The sequence below is a fragment of the Homo sapiens genome, chromosome 7 (genome assembly GCF_000001405.40).
Source record: "Homo sapiens chromosome 7, GRCh38.p14 Primary Assembly".
NCBI lineage: Eukaryota > Metazoa > Chordata > Mammalia > Primates > Hominidae > Homo > Homo sapiens.
In genome coordinates, this window is record NC_000007.14 from 51,287,945 (window position 1) to 51,315,002 (window position 27,058).

At 45.2% G+C, this 27,058-nt stretch overlaps 1 protein-coding gene across 22 annotated transcripts in view, besides 1 other annotated feature; it reads right to left on the bottom strand.

Annotated features, from left to right (window-relative positions):
* Positions 1-27,058, bottom strand: part of COBL (cordon-bleu WH2 repeat protein) — a 300,598-nt gene that overhangs the window by 271,733 nt on the left and 1,807 nt on the right. The gene's annotated exons all lie outside the window — the stretch shown is intronic.
* Positions 15,400-15,899: an enhancer, noted in NCBI's record as "H3K4me1 hESC enhancer chr7:51371041-51371540 (GRCh37/hg19 assembly coordinates)". NCBI's record gives its function as "activates a minimal SCP1, AML or CMV promoter by ChIP-STARR-seq in primed H9 embryonic stem cells {active_cell/tissue: H9 hESC(primed)}" and the evidence as "EXISTENCE:reporter gene assay evidence [ECO:0000049][PMID:30033119]".

A 27,058-nucleotide genomic window follows, 5' to 3' on the forward strand; every position in this document is an offset into this window, starting at 1 on the left:
TTATAGGGCATTCTCAAAAAAGATTATAGTGATGGAGAACAAATCAGTGGTTGCCAGGAAGAGAACAAAAGAAAATGCTGGGGTGATGAAAGTGTTCTGTGTGCTAATTGTGGTATCTATGCACATGTTAAAATTCATGGAATTATGAAAGAAGTCAACTGGACTCCATTTTGGTTTAAAAAGTAAAATTTAAAAAATACAAATGGGGGCCAGGCATGATGGCTCACGTCTGTAATCCCAGCACTTTGGGAGGCCGAGGCGGGTGGATCACCTGAGTTCAGGAGTTCGAGATCAGCCTGACCAACAAGGTGAAACCTTGTCTCTACTAAAAATACAAAAATTAGCCAGGCATGGTGGCAGGCGCCTGTAGTCCCAGCTATTTGGGAGGCTGAAACAAGAGAATTGCTTGAACCCGGGAGGCAGAGGTTGCAGTGAGCTGAGATCCCGCCACTGCACTCCAGCCTGGGCAACAGTCTCCAAAAAAAAAAAAAAAGAAAGAAAGAAAAAACAACAATAATGAAAATGGGGCTGGGCGTGATGACTCACACCTGTAATCCCAGCACTTTGTGAGGCCGAGGCAGGTGGCTCACCTGAGGTCAGGAGTTCGAGACCAGCCTGGCCAACATGGTGAAACCCTGTCTCTACTAAAAATACAGTAATTAGCCAGGCATGGTTGGGGGGTGCCTGTAATCCCAGCTACTCGGGAGGCTGAGGCAGGAGAATCGCTTAAACCCAGGAGGTGGAGGTTGCAGTGAGCTGAGATCACGTTATTGTACTTCAGCCTGGGCAACAAGAGCAAAACTCAGTCTCAAAAAATAAAATAAATAAATAATAATTTTAGAAAATACAAATGGGAAATAAGAACTGAATTCAAATACTAGTCTTCAAGATGGATATCTATGGAAATACTCTTCTACCTACTCAACTAATTGTATGCAACTAATTTACTCAACCTGTCCTTGTTAAAATATGAACAAGAACAATATAAGAAGTCATCAGGGTTAAAACTGTAAAGAACAATATAAAATAGTCCTCAGGAGTGCAGGGCCAAAACGTCTTGTTTCCACTTGTGCATAATGATAGCACAGAGAGAAAGGAGAACAGAGCCCTGCATAGTCTAAAGTCAGCAGCATCTCCTCCCAGCATGCCCACCGCACTGGTGCTCAGGGTCCAGTGAGGAATGGACAGCAACTGATTGTTTCATAACAGTTTCCTTTTTAAATTGTTATTCTTTCCCAAATAGTCTTTTCAACAAATGATGTTATAACAATTGGGAACAAGTCTATCATTTGATTATTTTGCAAGTCGTTCTACATACTTGTGTCCTTCCCTCTCTGTGTTCTCATTGTCTGCTCTCCTAAGTCACCTCCCAAGTGACTCTAGGCTCCCAGAGCCACAGACCTCACTGCCCTCCTGCTGACACTTCCTCTCAGCCCTCCCTGGATCCTGTGTCACTGCACTCGGGTGTGGCCCTCCACAAAGCAGCCAGAGCTTGTTTTCTAAAACAGGAGCTTATGATCTTCCATGGCTCCTCCACTGCCTACAACGGAGCTCTGCCGGGCAGCAGGGCTCAGAGGACCTTCATGTGCTGATCCTGCCCATCTGCTCTCCTGCTTACCTCCCGTCCTAGAGTGCCACCTCTCCTTATTCCAGAAATAAGACTCAGTCTCAAACACTTCTGTGCCTTGCACACAGTAGCTGTGCTAACAATGTCTGCAAATTATATGTGAACACTCCCAGCAAGCCACAGAATGGAAGTGAACAGCAGTGATCAGAACAAACAACTACAAGTAATTACCTTTCAGTGCCAAAAACAATGACGCCTCCTTTGAGGAAACGCAACTTGTCCTACTTTCAATAATGAGAACTATGGAAATTATTGTTTCCCTGTTGCCCAGCTTGTCAGAAACATAAAGACCGAACTGATGTTCAATTGCAGGACACAGATTTGCTTTCATGGCTGATATCTCTCCCCTCTCTGCCTTTCTTTGGCCTGGTTTCCTGTGTCTATTTTTGTTCATCCTCCTGCATGCCAGCCCTATACGAGGGCCTTGGGAAAACAAATGAGATACAGAGAAAAATGGCAGCTCAGGAAAACAGAAATACCCCTAAGATGCTGCAAAGCAAAATGTTCCACATGAGCAGCAGTAACCTTAGGGTGGTCATATTTGCAACCTGAATGAAAGGTGGTGACTGCTCAAGATCAACACTTGGACTTGAGCAAACACAATCAAATGCATACACCAATCACAGAGACTCAATAGAATGGGCAAGTCACAATGCCAGTGGCATAAATTATGTGCTACTGGTTACCAGAGGACAATGTGTGCCATCAGCACATCTAATTTGCATTATTTTGAAATCTGACTGCTAATCATTGGGGAACATGGATTCTGAAGGAACAGGCAAACTAGAATGCCTGGCCGGGTGATCACCAGGGTCCTTTCCAGCAGAGATAATGTGAAACCTGCAATGTCACAACTCAGATTGCTGGCTTGGAAAAAGCTTGTCTACATTGTAAAATGATTTGTGCTCAGCCTTCCTTTAAATCTTGTCTTAATCAGAAGTTAGTTTACCCCTAAATAAACACAGATATCAGAACAAAGGGTGCGTGAAAGATGTGTGCTATCTTTCTAAATTCAAATTTAGGCTCGCCCCACCCTGCTTAAGCCTTCCTGGGCTCCCTACTGCCCTGACTTTCTCTCCAGCTTCCCACACAACCTCAGCCTCGGCCCCTCCTTGTGAGTTTCAGGAAGATTAAACTGCTCAAATAATAACCCTGAATACTAATATGCTAAATCCCACTTCCCCCAGACACCTGGGCCAGCACCCTTTCTGGCACCATGCATACTCCCCTCTCCATGTGAACACCTTGACCTCAGGTAGGAACTCCAGTGCCACTCCCTGAAGCAGGGTGCCTCCCCAGGTGTGTGCCCTTCCCTCCGGCTGGTGTCTGCCATAGCAACACCACACTGTACTGCATGGAATCTGCCTCTGCCCCTCACCATCCTCCCCAAGAGCAAAGGCCACGTCTTCTTTAGGTCTCCAGCACCTTGCACAGTGCCCATTCCTGCCAGGGGCTCACAACCCTTGGGGTATGACTGAATAAACAGATGAACGGCTAGCTGCATGGAGCGCCAGAGCAAGGAAAGCAGAAATCCCTGTTAGAGCCAGCAAGCCATCGCGAGGCAGCGAAGAAAGACTGAGGGGCACAGCGGGGAACAGGCATCTCGGGGACCACAAGCAAGGCTGAGGCACACAGACACACAAGGGGTGTCTGAGTGACCAGAAGATACAGACATGAACTGTGAGGGCACATTCACAGAGTCACCAGAAAGGAGATTGCTGAGGCCAACCTCTGTGTCTTCCAAAGTCCTAGCCAGGAGTCCTAGCACAAGGATCATATACAACTGTAAAAAGTTACCTTGAACACAATCTGGGAAATTTAAGTATGGACAGGAAATTAGCTGTCATTAAGGAATTACTGTCAGGCAGGGTAATGAGGTGACAGTCATAAAAAAGCAAGCTTTATCAAGCCAGGCATGGTGGCTCATGCCTGTAATCCTAACACTTTGGGAGGCTGAGGCAGGCGGATCACCTGAGATCAGGAGTTCAAGACCAGCTTGGCCAACATGGTGAAACCCTCTCTCTGCTAAAAATACAAAAATTAGCTGGGTGTGGTGGTGGATGCCTGTAATCCCAGCTACTCGGGTGGCTGAGGAAGGGGAATCACTTGAACCCAGGAAGTGGAGGTTGCAGTGAGCCGAGACCACGCCATTGCACTCCAGCCAGGGCAACAAATCGAGACTCCGTCTCAAAAAAAAAAGTAAGATTTATCAGTGCACAATCAGCACAGAAGTATTTACAAATGAAAAGATAGAATGGGGAGCTTTTGCCTTAAAACGTTCAAGCCAAAAATAAAAATAAGAAGTGGGGCCAGGCACAGTGGCTCACACCTGTAATCCCAGCATTGCTGGGAGGCTGAAACAGGTATATTACCTGAGGTCAGGAGCTGTGGACCAGCCTGACCAACATGGTGAAACCCTGTCTCTACTGAAAACACAAAATTGGCTGGGTGTGGTGGAGGGCGCTATTTGGGAGGCTGAGCAGGAGAATCTCTTGAACCCAGGAGGCGGAGGCTGTAGTGAGCCGAGATTGTGCCACTGCACTCCAGCCTGGGCAACAGAATGAGACTTTGACTCAAAAAAAAAAAAAAAAAGTGGGAGAATTGCCAAATGTTAAAAACTGCCAAAGCTCATTAATGGACCCATACGATTTCTTTACTATGTTCTCTGCTTTTATTTACATTTGAAAGGTTCCATGTCCATTTTGTCATTTTAAGGTACCCACTGAATGGAATGAAATGAATCTTCAAATCAATGACTGTTGATTATTATATTTGAGGAAATCCCATAAAAAGTCATCCATTCCAAGAGTATTATGTTTTAAAGAATCTGATTAGAATGAGTACTATTTAAATATGACTGATAAAGACATTAAAAAACGTCCATCAGAAGCTGGAAAAACATAATTCAGCCAACCTAATCACATTCTTTAAATGGCCCCTTTATTTCCTGAAGCCAGGTATTAGAAAGGGACACATTCTATTTGCTGACGCAAAAGGCATTCTTGTGCATTTCTAGGTAGCTGTTCTCCTTTAGCCTCTTCAGCACACATCTGTGAGACCTGCTGCCAGCTCTGAGGGAGACCAGGCTGAGCACTCCCCTGTGTGGAGGGTCCCTCCTGTCTGGGATCTTGTTCTGTCCCCTCCTCCCTCCACACTCCAGAGCCTAGAAAGCAAAGCTCCTTCCAAGGCCCGTGGCTTGCCCAAGCCCAACTCTTTGCAGCCCCTGCAGGCCCCGAGCAGCCCTGAGTAAAGAGGAGCAGGGCCCTCTAGGGATGCCCACGTATCCCAGGCCTGGGCACACAGGTTTCATGCACCCCACAGCCAAGGCTGCTGCTACCCTGGGGCCAGGATTCCACTTTCCCTTGAGTGACACAATGACAGAATTGAAGGAATAAGTTACTAAACACATGTGATGCGCCAAATCAAAAAGTTTAGATTTAAAATTCAATAAACTTCACACACACTAGAATGGTGAAAATTAAAGACTGACCCAACAACTGTTAATTCTCATCCACTGCTAGAAGAGGAAGAAACAATTACTTTGGAAAACAGCCTGGCATTTTTGTAGTTGTTTGTTTGCTTTGTTTTGTTTTCACCAAATTACTTTTCAGCTAAGAAACCCTGGCAGTTTTGTAAAACATGAAACATAACATCTACAATGTGACTCAGCCATTCCACTCCTTGGTATTTACCTCAAAGAAAGGGAATACATGTCCATACAAAAACTATAAATGAATGTTCATAATAGCTTTATTTGTAATAGCTAAAACCCCAAAACAACCTAAATGTCAATCAATGGGAGAACAAATTGTTGTAAATTAATGATGGTATACTGTTCATCAATAAAGAGGGATGAACAATAGAGACACCATGAAATCATCATGCCAAGTGAAAAAATTTGACAAAAAGATGCCACCTACATAAATAAAACAGATCAATGGTGGTTGAGGGGCGCAGGAGAGGGAGGAATGGATTGCAAAGAAGCACAAGAAACCTTTGAGCAGCAACAGAAAAACTTCTGTATCTCAACTGTGGTAACAGTTTCAAGGGTGTCACACACATCAAAATTCATAAAGCTGTATGCCTTAATATGTATAGTTTATTGTACATAAATATCCCTCAGTAAAGTAGCTCCAAAATACAGTACACCTTCTCAATCACAAAGAGGAAAAAGAAGAAATTCATCCATAAGTGAGAACCAACAGACACTGGCTACAAGGCAGGCTGTCCCATGCTCAGTAAGGGGTGCTGGATCATGCATAGTGTTCCCAGGTCATTCTATGCTTGGTAAGGGGTCCTGGGTCACGCACAGTGCTCCCAGGTCGTCCCATGCTCGGTAAGGGTGCTGGATCATGCACAGTGCTCCCAGTATATAAGTGACAGGCACTCAGTCTGTAGCTATTTGCCTAAGTTTTTCAACAGTCAAGAACTACCTTAGGCTGGGCGAGGTGGCTCATGCCTATAATCTCAGCACTTTGGGAGGCAAAGGCTGGCAGATCACTTGAGGTCAGGAATTCGAGACCAGCCTGGCCAACATGGTGAAACCCCATCTCTACTAAAAATACAAAAATTAGCCAGGCATGGTGGCACATGCCTGTAGTCCCAGCTACTCAGGAGGCTGAGGCAGGAGAATCACTTGAACCTGGGAGACAGAGGCTGCACTGAGCAGAGATCATGCCACTGCACTCCAGCCTGGGCAACAGAGTGAGACTCCATCTCAAAACATAAATAAATAAATAAATAAATAAATAAATAAATAAAAATAAATAAATAAATAAAAGGCAGGGCGCAGAGCTCATGCCTGTAATCCCAGTACTTTAGGAGGCCAAGGCAGGTGGATCACCTGAGCTCAGAAGGTAGAGACCAGCCTGGCCCACATGGTGAAACCCTATTTCTACTAAAAATACAAAAAAAAAATAAAAGTAGCTGGGTGTGGAGGCACATGCCTATAATCCCAGCTACTCAGGAGGCTGAGGTGGGAGAATCACTTGTGCCTGGGAGGCAGAAGTTGCAGTGAGCTGAGATCGCACCATTGCACTCCAGCTTGGGCGACAAGAGTGAAACTCCATCTCAAAAAAAAAAAAAAAAAAACCATTTTGGTCTTAATTCTAAGTAAAGGTTTAATATTTTTCTGTACTTGATATTGCTAGCCTCTAACCAAACCATGTCATCCTTGGGGTCCAGCAATATAAGCATGTTTTTATACCCCCTGTAGATCTAGCATTGTCCTTGTACATGGTCTATGCTCCATTTATATAGAATTTAAAGTTTTACTGGTATCACTTATTTAAAGTTATCAAAATTGTTTATTTTAAAAAATATTGCCCAATTAGGGAAAAGCACACACTGGGGCCTGTTGCGGGGTAGGGGCAAGGGGAGGGAGAGCATTAGGACAAATACCTAATGCATGAGGGGCTTAAAACCTAAATGACGGGCCGGGCACAATGGCTCTCAATCATAATCCCAGCACTTTGGGAGACCGAGGCAGGCAGATCACCTGAGGTCAGGAGTTCAAGACCAGCCTGGCCAACGTGTTGAAACCCCATCTCTACAAAAATACAAAAATTAGCCAGGCATGATGGCAGATGCCTGTAATCCCAGCTACTCAGGAGGCTGAGGAGGGAGAATCGCTTGAACCGGGGAGGCAGAGGTTGTCGTGAGCTGATATCGCACCACTGCACTCCAGCCTGGGTGACAGGGCAAGACTCTGGCTCAAAAAAAAAAAAACAACCTACATGACAGGTTAGTAGGTGTAGCAAACCACCATGGCACATGTATACCTACATAAAAAACCTGCACATTCTGCACATGTATCCCAGAAATTAGGGCAAAAAAATAACGATTAAAAATACATACATTAAAAAACATTTTTCAAAAAAAATACTGCCCAATTAACTGGGACCAATGAAATAATCTTGCAAATGCCTAGATATGTAGTACAGAGTCACTGATACAGGCCTGTCCTTTCAGACTGTCACTGACAACAACTACTTTGCAAGGATTGGGACACACCCAGCAAAGCAAACACGACATCCTGGAGACAAGGATATGTACAACACCCTTCCAGGGCCATCAGTTCACATTCTGTGTTAACTGTTCTGTGCCTCTGGCCTTCTGTAGGTCCCTACAGATGATGTGTCCAACAACTGCCATCAAAGCCCAAGAACTTGTGGCCAACCTAATCTCAACTTTCTTGTTAACCTTTCCGAAAAATTTCAAATCCTGGCAGCCTCACAGAAGTCTGCACTTCTCCATACTTCTTTACCCTCCTAAGTGATCAATGAAAATTTAAAAACCCTCACTGAGTAATCCCTAAGCTACTATTTACATAAGCTAATCTTAGGGATAGTTACAGCTTGTCTGGCCTGGCTGGGGCTTAGGTCTGGAAGGAGTGTTATATTTAAGAACTGCTTCAGCAAAATGATTTTCTGAGAAGGCCTTCCATAAAAATAAACCTGACTTATCTAAGCCCCACCCTACAAGTAGAACTAACTGCTCCGCTCCTTCTTTTCTGGGTGTTCATGAAGCACTTTGCACATATCTCTATGATAACACTTGTTGTAATGGACTTTAGAGATCAGTCCTCCCTTCTTTATTGTGGGATCTGTCAGAGCAGGGACACCCATGATATCAGCACATAGGTGAATTTTAATTAATACTGAGTTTTTTAAACTCATGAGCCAATTAAATAAATCCATTTTAAAATGATCCTACATCAGAAAAATGGATCATTTCATATTTAAACCTTCATAATATGTAGGACAATATGACAACACAGAGACAATCATACACATATTATTTTAATGTAAAGTTTGTCCTAACATGGGAGATGTTTGATTAAATGAAGGCGTGCAATATTTTTTTTTAATTAAGCTTGGCTTTACTTTCTTCTTCTATTCTTTTGTTTTTGGTTTTGCTTTTTTACCAAAGTTAACTTGTGTAAAGTTATTTTACACAAGTTAAATATTTCATTTCTTTTTTGATCAACAACTTAAGATAACTTTTTTGGGGGGCAAATAATACTGCAGCAAATCAATTTGATAAATGACTCTGAAAGTATTTTACGGAATAGTTTTTGTTTCATGGTAGATGTTTGCTTGCAAGGATGTATGGGCATTTTGATGTTGCTGATTACTCACAGGGAGGTGCTAAGTATAGGACGAGAGCTTGCTTTCAATCTGGGCTGGACCGCCTTTTTCCAAAGCAATTTGGTTAAACCATGTGAAGTGCGTTACAAACACATATTTCTTGAAGAGGAAATTCTTGTACTGGAAAACGACCATGCTGTATGCACTCAGGTCTTTTCAACTAAATAGAACTCCCAGGCTGGCCACCTTGGGAGCTGGAACAACATCTCAACTAATACACATTTAAGGAATTGATGGCTGGGTGTAATACTGAATGATGAATGAAAGGATCATCTTTAGCCAAGGCTGGACGTCTGAATCACCAGGGAAGCACCCTCAAACCCTCTTTTGAGTCCCCTCTCTGCTGGCCCAGGCAGCATCCCCCTGCAAAGAGCTGAGGTATGTTTCTACTCCAAAGCTCCTCGGTGACTCGGCTGCACATCCCTGGTTAACACCCACCGGGGAAGAATCCCACCCTCATTTTTACGTAGGTAGACTCAGCATCAAGGCTGAGCAATCATAACATGTATAGTCCAGACAGGGCAATGTGGTAGGTGAAATAGGCATTATTAGGAATCACACCAGGTGTTAACTGGGACTGTCCCAACTGTGGCATGTGATCACCTTTCAGTACCTGAGATCTTTTGTTGTTGTTCTTAACATGGTAAGCTAAGTTTCATCATTTTGAAAATCTTTTTTTTTTTTTTTTTTGAGATGGAGTCTCACTCTGTCATGCAGGCTGGAGTGCAATGGTGCGATCTCAGCTCACTGCAACCTCCGTCTCCCGGGTTCAAGCAATTCTCCTGCCTCAGCCTCCCAAGTAGCTGGGATTAAAGGCACCTGCCACTATGCCCAGCTAATTTTTTGTATGTTTAGTAGAGACGGGGTTTTGCCACGTTGGCCAGACTGGTCTCGAACTCCTGACCTCAGGTGATCTGCCCGCCTCAGCCTCCCAAAGTGCTAGGATTACAGGCTTGAGCCACCATGCCTGGCCTTGAAAATCTTTACATAAACAACAATACATACTTCTATAAAGAAAACTACCACATGCAGCCCTTGATACATGGAAAAGCCAACCATCAGAAAGGTTTGTATCAGTGGGATTTGGTTATAAAAAGTCTCCTCTTCAGAGGCCACTCGATGTATGTTTTTAATGCGTCTTCACTAGGAGCTTAACCAAGTTGCTTTGGGAAAAGACAATCAAGACCATATTGCCCTATGGTAAGTCAAAGTATGACCACAAATGTTTCAGACTAATCTCTTCCAAAGATGGGGCCTAATTTCCCTCCCGAGTGTGGGCTGGACTTAGTGACTTGCTTCTGACAAAGTATGAAGCCAGTGACAGTGTATCACTTCTAAGGCTAGGTCATAAAAGGCCTTGCATTGCTCCTTGCACCCCCTCTTGAATCACATGCTCTACAGGAAGTCAGCTGCCATTTTGTGAAGACACTCAGGCATACGGAGAGGCCACATGGCAAAGAGCTGAGGCATCCTGACAAAAGTTGGCAAAAACTGAGCCACTGTCCAGCCACTGCATATGACTCTAAGCATAGTTACAACCTAAAATTCTCATCAGAACCACCCAGTAAAGCCATTCCCACTGCTAAGCTGCTAAGATTAGGGAGACTTGCTACGTAGCAATAGGTAACTACTACACCTACAGACTTCAACCCAGTCACCTTTGTTGTCAGGGCATGCTTTAAGAGGTGGCCTGCTATTCAGGGCTAATTGTGCAGCTTGCTGCCTGTGCATGCTCCTGCAATGACATTCTCCACCATTTCTGAGCTCTGACCTCCTAACACATGGGCTGGGGCCACAGGGCATCCCCCACCCCAGCAACAAAGCAGATGTGAGCAAGGCAGGCCACTCCATTGCTCTTACTTAGCTCATGGCTCATTCACCATCTGAAAAGTAGGGAAAGAAATGCTTGCCCACCAGGCTCATGAGCATGTCATGTCAAATGAATACACAGATGTTGGGACTCCGAAAGCTGCAAAATGGTGCAAATGTGTAAATTTTCACTGTTGACCCTGTCACTTCACATGCTGCATGAGTCTCATCCTACCTCAGGAGTTAATAACAACAACTGCACCACTAACATGATACTGTACCATCCAAAACTGTAAACAAGCCTACAGTGCCTTTGTCTGAGCACAGATGACATCGAAGCTCTGAGGTCAAATCCACTTGTCCGAGCACATAAGCCCTTTCTCATATCTCAGCTCTCCTCTTCCTCCTCTACCCCAAGATACTCTCCACTCAGACTCTCCCCAGCACAATCAATCTTCATGGAGTCAGGGAGGCAACATCTGAACAGCTTTCCTCACCCATGAATGGCATAGGCCAGGAAAGCCAAGGGGAGGTGTTGCCGGTGGGCACCTCATATCTTTCTGCCCTTAGGCCAGACAGGCTGCACAGCACACCTCCCAAAGATGAGCCACACAACGTTCCAAGTCTATGAGCACACATACATACACACACACACACACACACACTCCTCCAGGGCTGGACATCCTTAAGACACTAACGAATGCGTGAGCCAGCAACAGTCACACACAGCGGTGTCCACTGCCTGTCTGCCCAGGAGGTGCAGCACTGGCTGTTTAGAAAGTATTATATTCCAAAGAACTTGTGCAAATCCTTTGCTTCGATTTGCTAGAACAGAAAAGAAGGTAAATCAATGGAGACTATGGACATCCAAATTTTACCTATCTTCTCCTATCTGTCTCTCTTTCTTCCCAAAAGTCACAAGTTTCAAAGGGACTGAATGGTTAATAATCCCTAGCATATGAGTCCAGGTTTCAGGGGGACTGACCCATAGCATGCTGGCACTCCTCAAACCCAGTTGGCGCTCTCTAAGGAGGAAGGGTGCTGCAGCCCTGGGCCCAGGAAGAGGCTGGCAGTCCTGCTCTGAGAACAATGAAACATGAAGAGCTGAAATGGTGCTGAGGGAGAGGCCGCTGCCAGGCTTCATGGCTATAGGGGTGGGCTGTCATCCTGAGCAAGCTGCTCAACCTCTCTGACACTCAGTGTCCTCCTCTTCAAGAAAGTGACAGTAACAGCACCTATGTACAGGTCTACTAGGGGGATGAGGAACATAATACAGGAAAAGCTCTCCATGTCACAGGTGACCCATGACTCCACAAGACAGGTCATCTGTACCCTACTTGAGGCACCATCAATGACCATGCACTTAAATATCGCAACAACATTAAGCTGCTATGAAAGTCTGCAGATGCTCACTCCTAGTGGTGCACTCATCTTACTGCAGACCAGTCCACGGACCACACCTGGACTAGTGCTGGCCTCAAGGCCCTGCAAACAGGCCATGCATCTCTGATCCCCATGACCCAGTCTATTGCCGCTGTGCCTTCCTTACTTCCCTATTACATGTGCTCATGCTTGCCTTAGATTTCAGAATCAAAACTGAGGTTTGCTTTTCTGTTTTGTTTTGTTTTGTTTTGTTTTGTTTTGTTTTTTGAGACAGAGTCTCACTCTGTCACCCAAGCTGGAGTGCAGTGGCATCATGTCGGCTCACTGCAACCTCTGTCTCCTGGGTTCAAGCAATTCTCCTGCCTCAGCCTCCCAAGTAGCTGAGATTACAGGCACCCACCACCACACCTGGCTTATTTTTATATTTTTAGTAGCGATGGGGTTTCACCATGTTGGCCAGGCTGGTCTCAAACTCCTGACCTCAGGTGATCTGCCTGCCTTAGCCTCCCGAAGTGCTGGGATTATAGGCATGAGCCACCATACCTGGCCGAAACAGAGGTTATTAAAGCGGGGAAGCCTCTCACACCTGGCCTGGGTCTGGACCCTTCTTACCCAGAGTGTCACGTGGTGTGTTAGAAGGAGCCATGTGGTATGTCAGAAGGAGCTGCCTGCTCCTACAGGCCTGGGTCTGCATCCTGTCACCACTGCCCAAGTGACGCAGGAACGCGGTCTGGGGCTCATTGTACTCGTGGGTAAAATGGGAGAATGCCTTCTCCAGGGAGCTCTGGAGAGGAAATGATAACTGCCAGTCCACCTGCTAGGACCTAGGACGGAGCCTGCCACCGCACTCACTTCCTCTTGGGATACTCACACCCTCCCAAGAACCTTACTCGTTCCTGCCATTCACAGTTCCTGGAAAACCCTTCCCACCCTTTCCCCACTTCTGGCTCAGACTCACAACTGTCATCAGGGCCCCTGGGATCTTTTCCAGGGATATCTGAGGTGCATGTGACTGGGTCAGGAGTGTGCACTGGGCTGTGTGACCGCGGGGTCCAGATGTGGGGTTAACCGCTCCATCAGCTGCCCTTGGTCACCATGTTGCTATCTTGTGTCCCACGTGCCTCACTGTTAAAATGGGAAGAGCACCCTCACCCCGCACGCTGAGATGAGGAGTGAGTGCGGTGGGATACACGCACCGCGCAGGCTGCTGCTCTGAAGCGGCCCCCTCCACCGGCTCCCTCCGGCGCTGCCCTGGGCCACCCTCCCCTCCTCTGGGGCTCCCTGGCAGATCTGTCTCCTCTCTGAGACTGGAGCCTCTGGAGGACGCTCACCCTTTATCCTCTTCTGGGCAGGCAGCACCCTCAGCACTAATACGCCAAAGAAAAGTAAGTGAGGGAACTTCAACTACCGCGCCTGGCATCTCCTTCCTATCTGAGCAGGAGCCTCACAGCCCGTGCTCTCCACTCTGTGACGGGGAACTGCCTGGGCCCCCATCACCTGTACCTCAGCGCGGAACTCACAACACAGTGGCACTGCCCCTTCCTTCACAGCCGTACTGTGGGTGGCAAGGCCAAGCCCTTGTCTCTCAGGCCTGGGCCGTGTCCTACCAGCCGTCCCTGCCGGGCCCCACCCTCTCTTCTTTCCTCCGGGACTTCCCTCACACCTGAGTGTCGGTCTAATATTCGAAGAACAATCTTCCTCTGTAAGCAAGCTGCTCCTCTGCTTAAGGCCTCTGACCAATCCCCCAGCTCTTCCAGAGAAAATCCAAACCCCCACATTGCCTGCCCACCGCTACGTGGTTCCAAGCCACAGATTCCAGCGCAGATCCAGGCATCTAAGCCATCTGCTGTCCTCAGTGTCCCCTCCAGTGGACTGCAGGTTCCTCCACTCTGTGGGTCCCACTGTGCTGGGAACCCCTGTGCATTCCTCCATCCTTGGGCTTCCACTCCTGGCAGTCAGTCCATGCCTGCCTCTCTGCCCAGCCACATTTTACATTTTATCTAGTTTTCAACCCCCAGCTCAAAACCTGGTAGCTTTGCCTCTCCCAGCTTCAAAGAGGCATGGCTCCTGAACAGTCAGAGCCAGGGGCCTCTCCCCTGGTTGGCTCTGACAGGTCTTCAGTGTCGTGGCCCTCCCCGAGGGCAGCCGCCGAGCTGCATGTCTCCACAGCCTGGCCCCATCCTAGGAGGTGCTTACAAACTAGGTGAAGACTGCTGGGCTAACAAGGGCAAAGGCCTGGCCTCCCTCCCAGCATAATAAATTTGGAGGGGGTCACATAAATAAAGCAATGATGCCATCATTTCCTAGCAGTTAAGTTTTGTAAGAAATTCTACTGCTAAAGTAAATTGATAAGACCATTAATTTTTTTCCTAAAGATTCACAATTCTGGACTGGGCGCAGTGGCTCACACCTGTAATCCTAGCATTTTGGAAAGCCGAGGTGGGTGGATCACCTGAGGTCGGGAGTTCGAGACCAACCTAGCCAACATGGAGAAACCCTATCTCTACTAAAAATACAAAATTAGCCAGATGTGGTGGTGCATGCCTGTAATCCCAGCTACTCAGGAGGCTGAGGCAGGAGAATCGCTTGAACCCGGGAGGCGGAGGTTGTGGTGAGCCGATATTGCGCCATTGCACTCCAGCCTGGGCAACAAGAGCGAAACTCCGTCTCAAAAAAAAAAAAAAAAAAAGATTCACAATTCTGGGCTGGGTGTGGTCGCTCAGGCCTGTAATCCCAACACTTTGGGGAGCCAAGACAGGGAGGATTGCTTAAGGCCAGGAGTTCAAGACTGGCCTGGTCAATGCAGCAAGACCCTATTTCTAAGAAAAAAATAATAATAATTCACAATTCTGGTAATAATTGTGCTTTGAAAATACTGGAACTTAACTGAGATCAGTTTTACTCGCTGATAATAAATTACCATTTTTAAAGATGACGCTATACAGGGCACCAAGCACTGTTATCAGAGAGTGTTACAGACGCCTCACCCCTCACCCCCAACCAAACGGCTGTGGTGACTCAGTTTTTGGCATGTGCTAAATCACCAGCTCAGTCTTCCCAACGCAATGCTGCAACTATGACAACAATACCCCACTCACAGGGCTGCCGGCTCAGAAACAAGCTACTGTTTTATCACTGCAATAGAAACCTGCACTTCACAAATTAGAATGTTTTAAAATACAATACATTAATGTTTCCCCGAGCCTCATGACAAAGTTAACACAATAGATCATACTTTCAGATTTATGCTTTTACATTCGGATGCAGAGATAGACACAAATGCTTTATACCCTTTTATAAAATCTGGGGACACAAAACCTAATCGAATGTGGACAGGAAAGCCCATCATCCAAAATCAACAATCCCGGGCCGGGCGTGGTGGCTCACACCTGTAATCCCAGCCCTCTGGGAGGCCAAGGCGGCCAGATTGCCTGACTCAGGAGCTCAAGACCAGCAAAACCCATCTCTACAAACAAACAAAAATACAAAACCAGCAATCCGGTCTCTGTGCGCACCTGACTTGACCATGCATGCAGAGACGGCCACTGGAGGTGAGAGGTGACAGGGTGACATCCCCAGCCCTCCCGGATGGAGGGAGCCACAGAAACAGAGGCATCACTTGTCATTACTTTCCTCTAGCAAAAACAGACTCATTCCACAAGGAAGTGTGTCAAAGCAACTGGTGTTCATGAGCACCTATTTATTTATATGAAGTTAATGTGCCTGGGAGAGGGATTTTACCAAGCTCTTAGATGTTACATGTGACAAACACAGACATGTATCAAAATTCAGCTTATCTGCTGACCCAACTCCAAACAGGGAAGGTACAAATGTATACTGATCCGTTCTGTATGGATCCTTTCCTTATACTTTTCCCAGTGGGTCTACAGACTGGCTGAGTATTTTATCCAATATCCAAACATCATTTTTAAAGGTGGTCACCCAATGCTGTTATTTTTCTCTGAGTGGTCTGCAGAGCCGCCGACAGAACATATGGGACAGGCTGCTGACTGCATGCACACCAACACTAAACTCAGACATTTATTTTTATATTATTTTTAATGGGTAAAGGGTATCATGGAATAACGCTGGCGGCACCTTGAAGTTCAGAGGAAGTCCCCAGACACTAATGCTCCCCCAAAACCACTCACTGGTCCAACAGTCAGGAGACCAGAATCCAGTCCCATGTTGTCGCCAGCACCAAGGTCAGCTTGGAAAGTGATGGTGTGAGAGAGGCAGCCACACCTGCATGATGGAGGAATCGTGGTCTCGCCCTCACAACATCCAAGAACTGCTAGGAGAGCAAAACAAAGGGCAAAACACAATGACCTCTATTTAGAAGTGGGGAGGCAGAGGTCACAGGCAGGTCCAGCCTTCTAACAAAGCTCTTCCAGTGGGATGGGAGTCACCATTCATTCTCCCCACAGTCCCCAACCCACCCTGTCCAGCCCATGACTTCCTCATCGGTGTGACCCACCTGGTCCTGGTACAAACCTGTGTTTACAACATCCACTGAAAAACAATTTGTGAATACAAGCTATGATTTGTATTGTATTTCTAGTGCTATTTTTCTGTTCTAAACCAACAGATCCCTTCTGATCATTAGAATCATTAGTTTCCTATCAAGGTGGCATTGGCCGCATTTCTACCATAAGAAAACAAATGGTAGCAGTAATATTTCCTACTGGAAAGGCAGTGCAAGTCTTTGTAAAAACAGGTGTCAGGACAGAGTTTCACATCTATTATATGTTCTTGGACCAGAATGATGGAATACTGGCAGAAAAACAATAATGGGAAAATAACAATATTTTATAATGAAAAATAATTGGAAAAAAAAAATAGGAACTGTCCTGTGACAGGCCCTCCACTGATGCTGTTACTCCTGGTCTCTAATCATCTCATAAAACCCTGCAATCCAGTCATCTCCGCCTTAGTCATGAGGGATGAGGAGGCTAAACAGTCCCTCGAAGTGACAAAGCTTTCAGGGGAGGGCGGATGTGTGGGCCTTGTCCTTCCACTCACGTTCTGTAGGTTGACACCCTCACCAAGAAGTTACCAGAGAGCTGCAAACCAGCCGTGCTCCCCAGAGCATAGCCCCCGCCCCTCCAAATGCCAGCACCACTAGGTAATACAAGGGCCAGTCCCTATGTCACTGTGACACAACAAAGAGGGACATAAGCTGAGCCTTGTGGAAAATCTGTTTCAATTATATGTCACTTTCACTTGTTTAAAATAAACAAGAACACCTTTTCATGACAATAAATATTTAGCATTATAAAAACACCGCCCTAAGTAAAAAATGTTACACAAATGAAGTGCATCCCCTTCCTAGGCACATGGGTAAATCATGAAAGCCAGCCCAGCGTAAACACAAGCCATGCTTTACTTCCCATCAGGCTCTGCAGCCAGTCTTATCCCTGACTGTAAGAATACTATATAATTTTTAACTCAGAAAATGAAAAGTAAACATCAAGAAAACATTTCTAACATATAATTTTCCTCTGAGGTTGCTGTCTAGATACCTCATCTACAAAGCAATATTTTCCACAGATCAACAGTTAAAATAAAGAGACAAAAGGTATAATCTTCCAACTTGGTGCATGTCATTTAGAACAATCAGTTCTAACAGAAGGAGGATTCTGCACAGGTAAGTGAAACATCATAAGGAGGATAAATTACTTTTGTGAAAGTGACTAAAACTAAGTTAAAAACAAAAAATAGATTGAGGGACATTCTGCTTGCATAGGCCCCAGGAGAGCCAAGAACACCAGCTCATTCACAGCACTAAAAAGCCCCTAAACCAGGTACCAGGTATGCGCTTAAAACATTGTACTCGATGATGGCTGGGCGTGGTGGCTCATGCCTGTAATCCCAGCCCTTTGGGAGGCCAAGGCGGTGGATCACTTGAGGTCAGGAGTTCGAGACCAGCCCGGCCAACATGGTGAAGACCCGTCTCTACTAAAATACAAAAAAAATTGGCCAGCCGTGGTGACACGTGCCTGTAATCCCAGCTACTCAGGAGGCTGAGGCAGAAGAATTGCTTGAACCCAGGAGATAGAGGTTGCAGTGAGCTGAGATCGCATCACTGCACTCCAGCCCAGGCGACAGAGCAGCAAGACTCTGTCTTGGGGCGGGGGTGGGGGCAAACATTGTACTTGATGAATGAAGATGGCCCTTGCTTCCCGAGTGTCTTGAGGTGTGAGCTGTAATGCAGATGAGTGGGGCCCCAGGAACACAGTGACACTAGGCACCATGAACCTAGAGGCGGCTTGGAAGTGCCACACACCAGGGCTATTTTCTCTCCGTGCTCAGTTCATCCCTGCTGGAGGGTGCTGGCCTCTAGAAGCCCCGATACTGACTAGCACACCCAGGCCAACAGGGCCCACTCACCTGCAGAGAAGAGGCCCTAAAAGCATCACCCAGCTCATTACTGAGGCTCTTGCAGCTTGGAGCAAGGGCTGTATAAAGTTACCCAAAGAAAACACAATTAGCGAATTTGTGGGTCTGGGTTCTGTGTAGCTTCTACTTTGAAGGAAGCTCGTTTATTGAACAGAGCAGAGCTCTGTGTTTTCATTAAATGTATCAGCCCAAGACACTGAGCTGGGCCAACATCCAGTACAAAAGGGAAGGCTTTTCAATGTTTATTAATTCATCAGCCAGTATCAGGCAGAACATCTTGCTTTGAGGAAGGGGAGTCTGGATTCGACTCCTTACACTAATTCATAACTGCTCTGTGCTCAGCAACAGCTGAGTTTGGTCCTCTCCTATCACACACCACGTATTTCTTTGAAAAAGTAAAATCCCACGTAGGAGTCTCAGGAATCGCACATCCTAGAAAAGCATGAGTTCTGTCACAATCAAACAGGTAATCATGAGGCTCCTATACCAGGAATAAGTCGTAAGAATGTCTGCAGGCACACTGGCTTTTCATGGCAAAATGCTGCTGAGACACTCCAGGGCTTCAGAAATAGAGCAGAGCAACATCCTCCTTCATCCTGCAGGGAGCTAGAGCAGTAGCTTTCATAAAGCAGCTTTGGAAATGAGCTCCGTGCTTCAATGTGGCCTAGCAGAGTGGCCAACGATGAGGACGTGGACACTGACGAGAGACGTCAGAGTCACATGGCAATCTCACCTACAAAACCAAGAGGACAGGCCGGGTGCAGTGGCTCAGGCCCATAATCCGAGTGCTCTGGGAGGCCAAGGCGGGTGGATCACTTGAAGTCAGGAGTTCAAGACCAGCCTGACCAATATGGTGAAACCCCGGCTCTACTAAAAATACAAAAAAAAATTAGCCAGGCGTGGTGGTGCAGGCCTGTGATCCCAGCTACTCAGGAGGCTGAGGCAGGAGAATTGCTTGAACCTAGGAGGTAGAGGTTGCAGTGAGCTGAGATCACGCCTCTGCACTCCAGCCTGGGTGCCAGAGCAAGACTCCATCTCAAAACAAAAACAAAAACAAAAACAAAAACAAAAAAAGGAGAGGACAGTACTGTCCTACCAACATCAGAGGGCCCTGATGGGAGAGCCAGACCTCCCACACACAAGGAGCAGGTTCTGGCCATCTCCTATCTCTGTCAGCTAGACAATGGCAACAGGCAAGTGGCTCTAATGCCAAAATAAGGCAAGTCCTTGCAAAGAACATTTTTTGGGTCCTCCTTTAGAAAAATCTATCATTCTAAAAATGTGAAACATGATGGTAAGCAAAAAGAAATGGACAAATAATAAGGAAATATTCCAAACTGACATATTTTTCAGTTTAGTCTAGCTTCCAAACTAGTTTTCCTTACTTTTCTGTTGACTGTGAAATTCACAAATTAACTGCATTCAGAACACAGTCTTTGATTATGGCTTGTGCCGTTGAAACCAATCAAATATTTCTGAGAAGTGGTAAAGTGTAGCAATTTAGAGCGTTGTCACAGCATGAAAAACATTCAGACTTCATCACCCCAATTCCCACTTTTTAAATCCAATTGGGTGGCTTGGCTCTTGTGAGAGATCTGCAATTCACTCTTCCTACGTGTGATGTTGTCAGAGCGCAGATAACCATTATCACGTAATAAGTGGTTTAGGCAGGAGCAGGAGGAAGGAAGTTTTCAGTTCCACCCAAAACCAATTCTACCTGGTAGCTATAGACAACAAGACAGATGGATAGGTGGGCGGACGGGAAAGCCTGGCAAGGACCTGCCCTGCATGGCAAATGTTTAGACTCTGGCTGCTGTCGATCAGTCTCCCTCCAGCCTAACAGTTTGTGCATTGAACACTAGTGGATTTTGCACTTAATTAAGAGGGTTCTAGCCAACCAAACTGTATTTAGAGACTAAAAAATTAGCCACATGAACAAAAGTATACACTTCGGCTGCATTAACACTCCTACCCAAGACTATTTTTAAATACAACTCCCAAGCCATTAAGTTTGAAAACCGCCAGAACTGATTTGGTAATCTGCTGCTTTGCCAAGTGCTGGAAGTTAGCTTTAACTTCACGCCCACTCTCACACAGACAGACAGACAGACACACACTCACACATACATTCACACAAACAGCTGGTTTTCCCATTATGTTCCTTAGCCTTAGTTTGCTACTTACTTAACTGCTCAAGCCATCCACATGTAATTGCAAAGTTAATCCATTTGGTATTTCTCCTCTTCCAGCTCTATGAGTCCTTAAGCCACGCAGAGCACTTAGCAGAGCACTTATGATAAGACAACGCTTTGCCAATGCTCCTCATTCTAACAAGGAGTCTCTCCAACTTGCCTACCTCCTCCAAACCAGCAGGAAGCTCTGACTTTCCCAGGTGCAACTACCCTAATTGGGGGCTGGGGGATCCTCTTTCCCCAACTCCTCCAGGATGGTGCCCACTATGAATAAGTGGAAGCGGCTGGCTGTAGCATGGACAAGGAGAACAGAGACATCATAAAAAGCAAAGGACGTCAGCACCCCGATGTGTTGCAGATGCAAAGTCCTGTTTACCACTGGCCTTTAAGATTACAGTCTAAACGTCACTTCCTCCCCTTAGATGTCTGGAAAGCATAGGCTTTGTAGGTCAGAGCTCTATATAACGTGGGTGTGTGTCACAGCAAACTAAGGACATGTTTTTCAGAAAGGCCAGAAACTGTCAGGGGCACCCCTTCCCAAGACCCTGGCAAGGGGCAGAGGAGCCACATACCCATCTGCACACTTTAACACCTACGTTCCCCCGGCCCTCACAGGAGTCATAAATGCAATCACAACGGCTAAGATCTCTGATCCCCCCTGCCTCCAAGCTGCCCTTTTAAGGACGATGTGATTATGGTTGGGCCAAGGGGACATGAGCAAAGGGACTTGTATGGCTGGCAGGTGGAGCACGAAAGGACGGGGTGCATCTCCCCCTCCTCAGGCCAGGCTGGAACAGATGGAGACTGCACACCAGCCACAGCTGAGCACCAAATAAAAATCAGCAGGTCTCTGGGAACGCTGCACCCCAACACCAGCCCAGGACTCCCGAGGTGGGCTTTTAGATAGGAGAGAGAATTATCTCCTCTTTAAGCCACTGTCACTTTATGTTCCTCAAAATAAGACCTCTTAACACCTCCCAAATCTGCACCGAACTAGGCTGCATGGCTGGCAAGCTGAGTCCAAGCACATCAGTTCCAAATATGTTAGTGCCAGTTGATCGGTCTGTTCTCATACAGGCTGGCAAAAACAAGATTTAAGCAGCAATTTAAGAAACAGTTTTTTTGAAAGAGGACTCTAGAATATTCTGGGAACACTGAATCATATGATTTTAGAGCTCACATGAGTCTTAAGATCATGTTATCTAACTCCCTCCACCAGCAAGAAGGAAGCAGGGGTTGTTCTGTGCATCACAGGCCACAAACCAATGACACAAAAGCTTACAAAGTAATAGTCCTGGCTCCAAGGAGCTGCTCAGAATTCAGTGGGTCAGAGGGGCAAGTAAAGGGACAATCATAATCCCATAGGAGGTTTTCGGACAGGGGAGGGCGTGGGGTGTGAGAGGGATACTCTCAGAAGGCCTCCTGGGGGAGCCCCAGCTGCAGCTTAAACAACAGGCATTCTGAGAAAGGGGCAAGAAAGCTCTCCAGGCCAAGGTGAGAGAGAAAGCCTGAGACCCCAGGTGAGGCCTGGGAAGCTGCGGTGGCAAACAAAGAGTGGCAAATCCAAAGGCTGGAGCCTCGCTGTCCACTGGAACTAGCCGCACACAGCTATGTAAGTTTAAATGGATTAAAATTTTAAAAGGTGAAAGACTCAGCTCCCAGTTGCAATAATCACCAGTCAAGTGTTCAGAAGCACCTGTGTCTGGCAGCACTGGCAGAGAACACTGGCACCTGGCAGAAGCATCATCAGACAGCCCTGGGCTGAAAAAGTCTGGAGAGGCCCCATCAGGATGGGCCTGCAGGCTGCGTGGAGAAGGAGCAATTTCACCTTGGACAACTGGCACCAGGGTCCAAAGCTTCTTGTTCCTGAGACAATTTTCTTTCCACTAATCCTCCCGCTGTCTGCCTTTGATAGAAGAAAGTCAATAGGATTAACAAATAAGCAGAGGGCATTCTGAATCAGGGAAGGATGCCCTGTCTGGCCCTCGGCAGCCTCTGTCTGGAGAGAGGTGGGAGCATCTCTAAGGCAATGGCTCCCCATGGGGATTCAGGTTCTTGGGCAGTGAATGCTAGAGGAGCACCTGGAAGACAAGAGATGGGATCGACCAGCCAGGACGCGTGACTTACCTGGTTTATCTTTGGAGGGTTGTTTTTGTTTTGTTTGGTTTGGTTTTTTTGAGACAGAGTCTCTTTCTGTCATCAGGTGGAGTGCAGTGGCACAATCTCGGCTCACTGTAACCTCTGCCTCCCGGTTCAAGCGATTCTCCTGCCTCAGCCTCCCAAGTAGCTGGGACTACAGGCATGTGCCACCAGCCCAGCTAATTTTTGTATTTTTAGTAGAGATGGGGTTTCACCATCTTGGCCAGGATGGTCTCGATCTCTTGACCTCGTGATCAACCCACCTCGGCCTCCCAAAGTGCTGGGATTACAGGCGTAAGCCACTGAGCCCGGCCGGTTGTATTTTTTTTTTTTTTAAGGGATAAGGACTTTATTGGTTTCTCTAAATCAATTGATGTCCTTTTTACAGGCATCACTTGGTGTGGTGCAGGTGGGAACTGGATCTACAAAAGTATTTGTACAAAAGTATTTGTGGTCTGGGAATCTGTCTAACCAAATGTATCCAAGAAAAATATACTCTGGCAGTTGCTTAAAAAGCTTTTTCTCTTTTTTAATAGAAATGTTTTTAGCTGGGGGATTACTCTAATTGGACTTGGCCTATAGAAGACAATGCCCTGGCAGGGAGCAGCTCGCCACCTGATGAGGAGAGCAGAGGGAAGCGTGCTAACACCCCAAGAGGCCACAGGGTTTCTCCCTGCTGGGGAAAGCCATCCTTCTCTGGAGGGGCTGGCTCAGAAGCACAGGGATGGCCCTGAGATAGGCAGCAGAAAATACACACACTGTTGGAAACCCATTGTCTATTGTCGCACCAGAGGAGACAGCAAACTCTAGTCTAGAATAAATAGCACTAGGTCTTGAAAGTATTGACCATCCTTAGCTTTGCAAGAAGCAACTAGAATCATATAAAGTATACAAGAGGAAAAAAGTTTTAATTCTATTCCAGCAAGAGACAGATGAAAAATAAGGAATTATGGAACCCTGAAAGAAAAGTGACGTAGGCTTCCCATCAATTCAGAAGCAGAAAGCCAGGGAGTGGCCCTGAAAAATCCAGAAACACTCAAGTGACAAGGTGGAAGCGAGAAAGCAAAGTATAAAATGGGGGAGATGGAAACTAAAATTTACAACTCAAATAAATGAAAATCATAAAAGTGTAAAAAGGCATATTATCAATACATCTCTATGTAGTAATATAAACCAATAACTACAGTATTTTAAATAAAGAAAAAGTACAAAGATGAAGATATGTAAAAGCTTTCAGTGGGTCATGAAATACCAACTTTTTTTCAGCTATAGTATAAGGTAACTGAAAAAAAAAACCACACAATTAAAATTAACCAACGCATAAAACCTTCATAATTAAATGTGGATGGGGAGAGAATGAAGGAATGTACGAAAACACCATATAATAAATACAGGACCTCAGCCGGGGGCAGTGGCTCACACCTGTAATCCCAGCACTTTGGGAGGCCAAGGCGGGCGGATCACAAGGTTAGGAGTTCAAGACCAGCCTGGCCAACATGGTGAAACCTCGTCTCTATTAAAAAAAAAAAAATACAAAAATTAGCTGGGTGTGGTGGTGCACACCTGTAAATCCCAGCTACTCCGGAGGCTGAGGCAGGAGAATCGCTTGAACCGAGGAAGTGGAGGTTGCAGTGAGCTGAGATCGCACCATTGCACTCCAGCCTGGGTGACATGGTGAGATTATGTCCCCCCACCAAAAAAATAAATAAATACAGGAACTCTTAGTGTATTTACAAAGTTCAAGTCTAAATCAGAACCAAGTGTTAGCATATTTCACATTTGTATGTCCTTGATCTAAATATTAATACTACTTTGGTATCAAATATTTATGCTCACTTTTCAAAACTGCAGATCAATTACAAAATTAAATTTAATCATAAATTTATAACAAAGCACAAAAGGCCTAGAAACCTAAACTACTTATTACGGTGTATAGATGCATCCTATAATCATTGTTTTCTTAATAATTACAGGAGCACTTGCGTGGACACAGATTATGACTTCATTCCCTGGATCCCAAATTAAGAAGTCCACAGAATCCAGGCCTGCATATACGTGGGGGCTGTCGCTCTGCCTGGGTCAAGGTTCCACTCAATAATAATCCACTCCACCTGTGCACTGGAGGTCACGAGAAAACACAGGAGGGACTGCAGGCAAAAGTTCCTGGGGGCAGGAGAGATGCAACACTTAACAAATACCTTTGTAACAAATTTTAATCATACTTCAGTTCTATCCCCTTTATAGAACCACTGAGAAATAATAAAAATGCTCTGAGACTATGTGATATTGCAACACAGAAATGTCCAACTCTTCTAATTTATTAGTAAATATTTTAATTACAAAACATTAAAATTCCTAGGCCTACTCTCCACATTACATCAAGCAATTCTTAACTTTTACTTTCTTAAATGAATTGCCAAAATAAAGAGTAGCTCAGAAGTAATATCTTTTAAAAATAATGCTCAAATCTAACGGGAAAAGTTTTATGTAACAGTTCATTATACATGCTCTCATTTGAAAGAATGTAAACACTTTCTCTAACATGTTAGCCAAAAGCCAAAGGCCTAGAAACCTAAGCTTCCTATTATGGTGTAGAGTTAATATTTTCTTAATATCTGCATGCTTATGAGGGTTTCATACAAAATGTCACTGTGGCTGCCCCATGTCACTACCAAGAGTCACAGGCCTTCTACACTTAATACTATGTGCGGCACCGACAGGACTAGAGTAGCTCAAGTTACCCACTTCGATTAATTTTTTAAAATTTCTTTTGGTTCTAATAACTTGATTAAATAAATATAAATTTATGCAAAGAAATGAATAACAGCTATGTGTACATGAAGTCCACATTTTGACGAAACTGATTAGCAAAACTTCCACTGATTTTTACATGAGCAAACTGCTTGAATACAGCCATTGATCAAATGCACCAGCTGTTTTGACATTTCATGTCATTGGAGATTACTGTATTCTACAGAAACATGTCTTTCCTCCATAGGAAAAAAAAAATTAAGCATGGTCCTGCCAAACAGCAAGCCTTCTTCTGTCCTTTATTAACAGAGGGTCCAATGGGAAATTTAGCCCTGTGTTCTGTAACAGCCGACTACTGGGATGGCTCCTATAAATATTCAGACAAACGCAAAGTAAACAGATAAAGTAGAGAGTTAAATATACTTCAAAACCTCACCAAAAGGCAATTTGCCTTTACTTGTGTTCTGAGTATTCTGTCAATTCTTATACTTCAACTGAGCTCTAAAACTCCCTAAAAGTCACATCAAGTCTGACTTGTTAGTTTTTGCACACAGCCTCTTTCCTAAAAGAACACTTTCCCCAGGAGTCAAGGAAGTCATACATCACTGTTTTAATGAAATTCCTAGTAAAAAACATACAATTTCAATCCAAGTAAAAACGTATATTTGTGTTTTTCACAAAGATAACTAATAACTACCTGTTAATAATTTAGCCAGACACAGAGTCAGTGAGTTTACATTCACCAACCTATCTCCCTTCAGTAATCTTCTAGAAGAGCGTTTGTAGGCCACAGGGTGAAATCTCGTTAATTCACTGCACCCAGTCTAGCTTGTTTCTATACAACACAAGGAGGAGTGGTAGTTTCAGCAACAGCAACAGCTTCACCACATCAGTTTGTTATCATGTGGGAAGACAGAGGCTTACTGAAAGTTTGATTTTATAATAAACGGTTGCAGAATCAGATGGAAAACAAATTTCCCTCAAGCACACTGCAAACACTGCCTTAATCTCAGGGAACAGAGGAGTAATCTCAGTGAAGAGCCAACAGAATCTGCCTGCCACCAATAATGTACTAAAGCCACAAATTTCACAGCAATATCTAACCTTTATAATTAGCAAGCATACACCTAAATTATATAAAATATTCGAAGACCTAACACCATTTATCTCCTCAGATTTGAACACAAAATTGCTTATTAAACACGTAATTCTTGTCTGAAAAAATATAAGGATATTAACATTTTCTTGATGCTTCTTCACTGAAAGTATTAACAAATGACAAAGTGAGAACAATAGAAGTTAAAAATAATATGTCTACATTTCTTGGACAAAGATGTTCGGACAAGTAAATTAGACACTGGATATGAGTGAGGGAAAGAACTGAATGCATCAGGAATAATTTCATGTTTTCCATAGCAAAAATCCTTAGTTTTACTTTGCAATTCAAATATGAAAGCCAATCAGAGCTCTGGGAAGCCCTGAGAAGGCCAGCCCTCGACTACCTCTTGCCACACAGTACCAGGCTGAAAAGAGTGCCACGCTCTTAGGGTAAGTCCTTTCACTTCTATCATTAGACTCCCTTCAAGGATCTTACAGATACTCTTTGGATA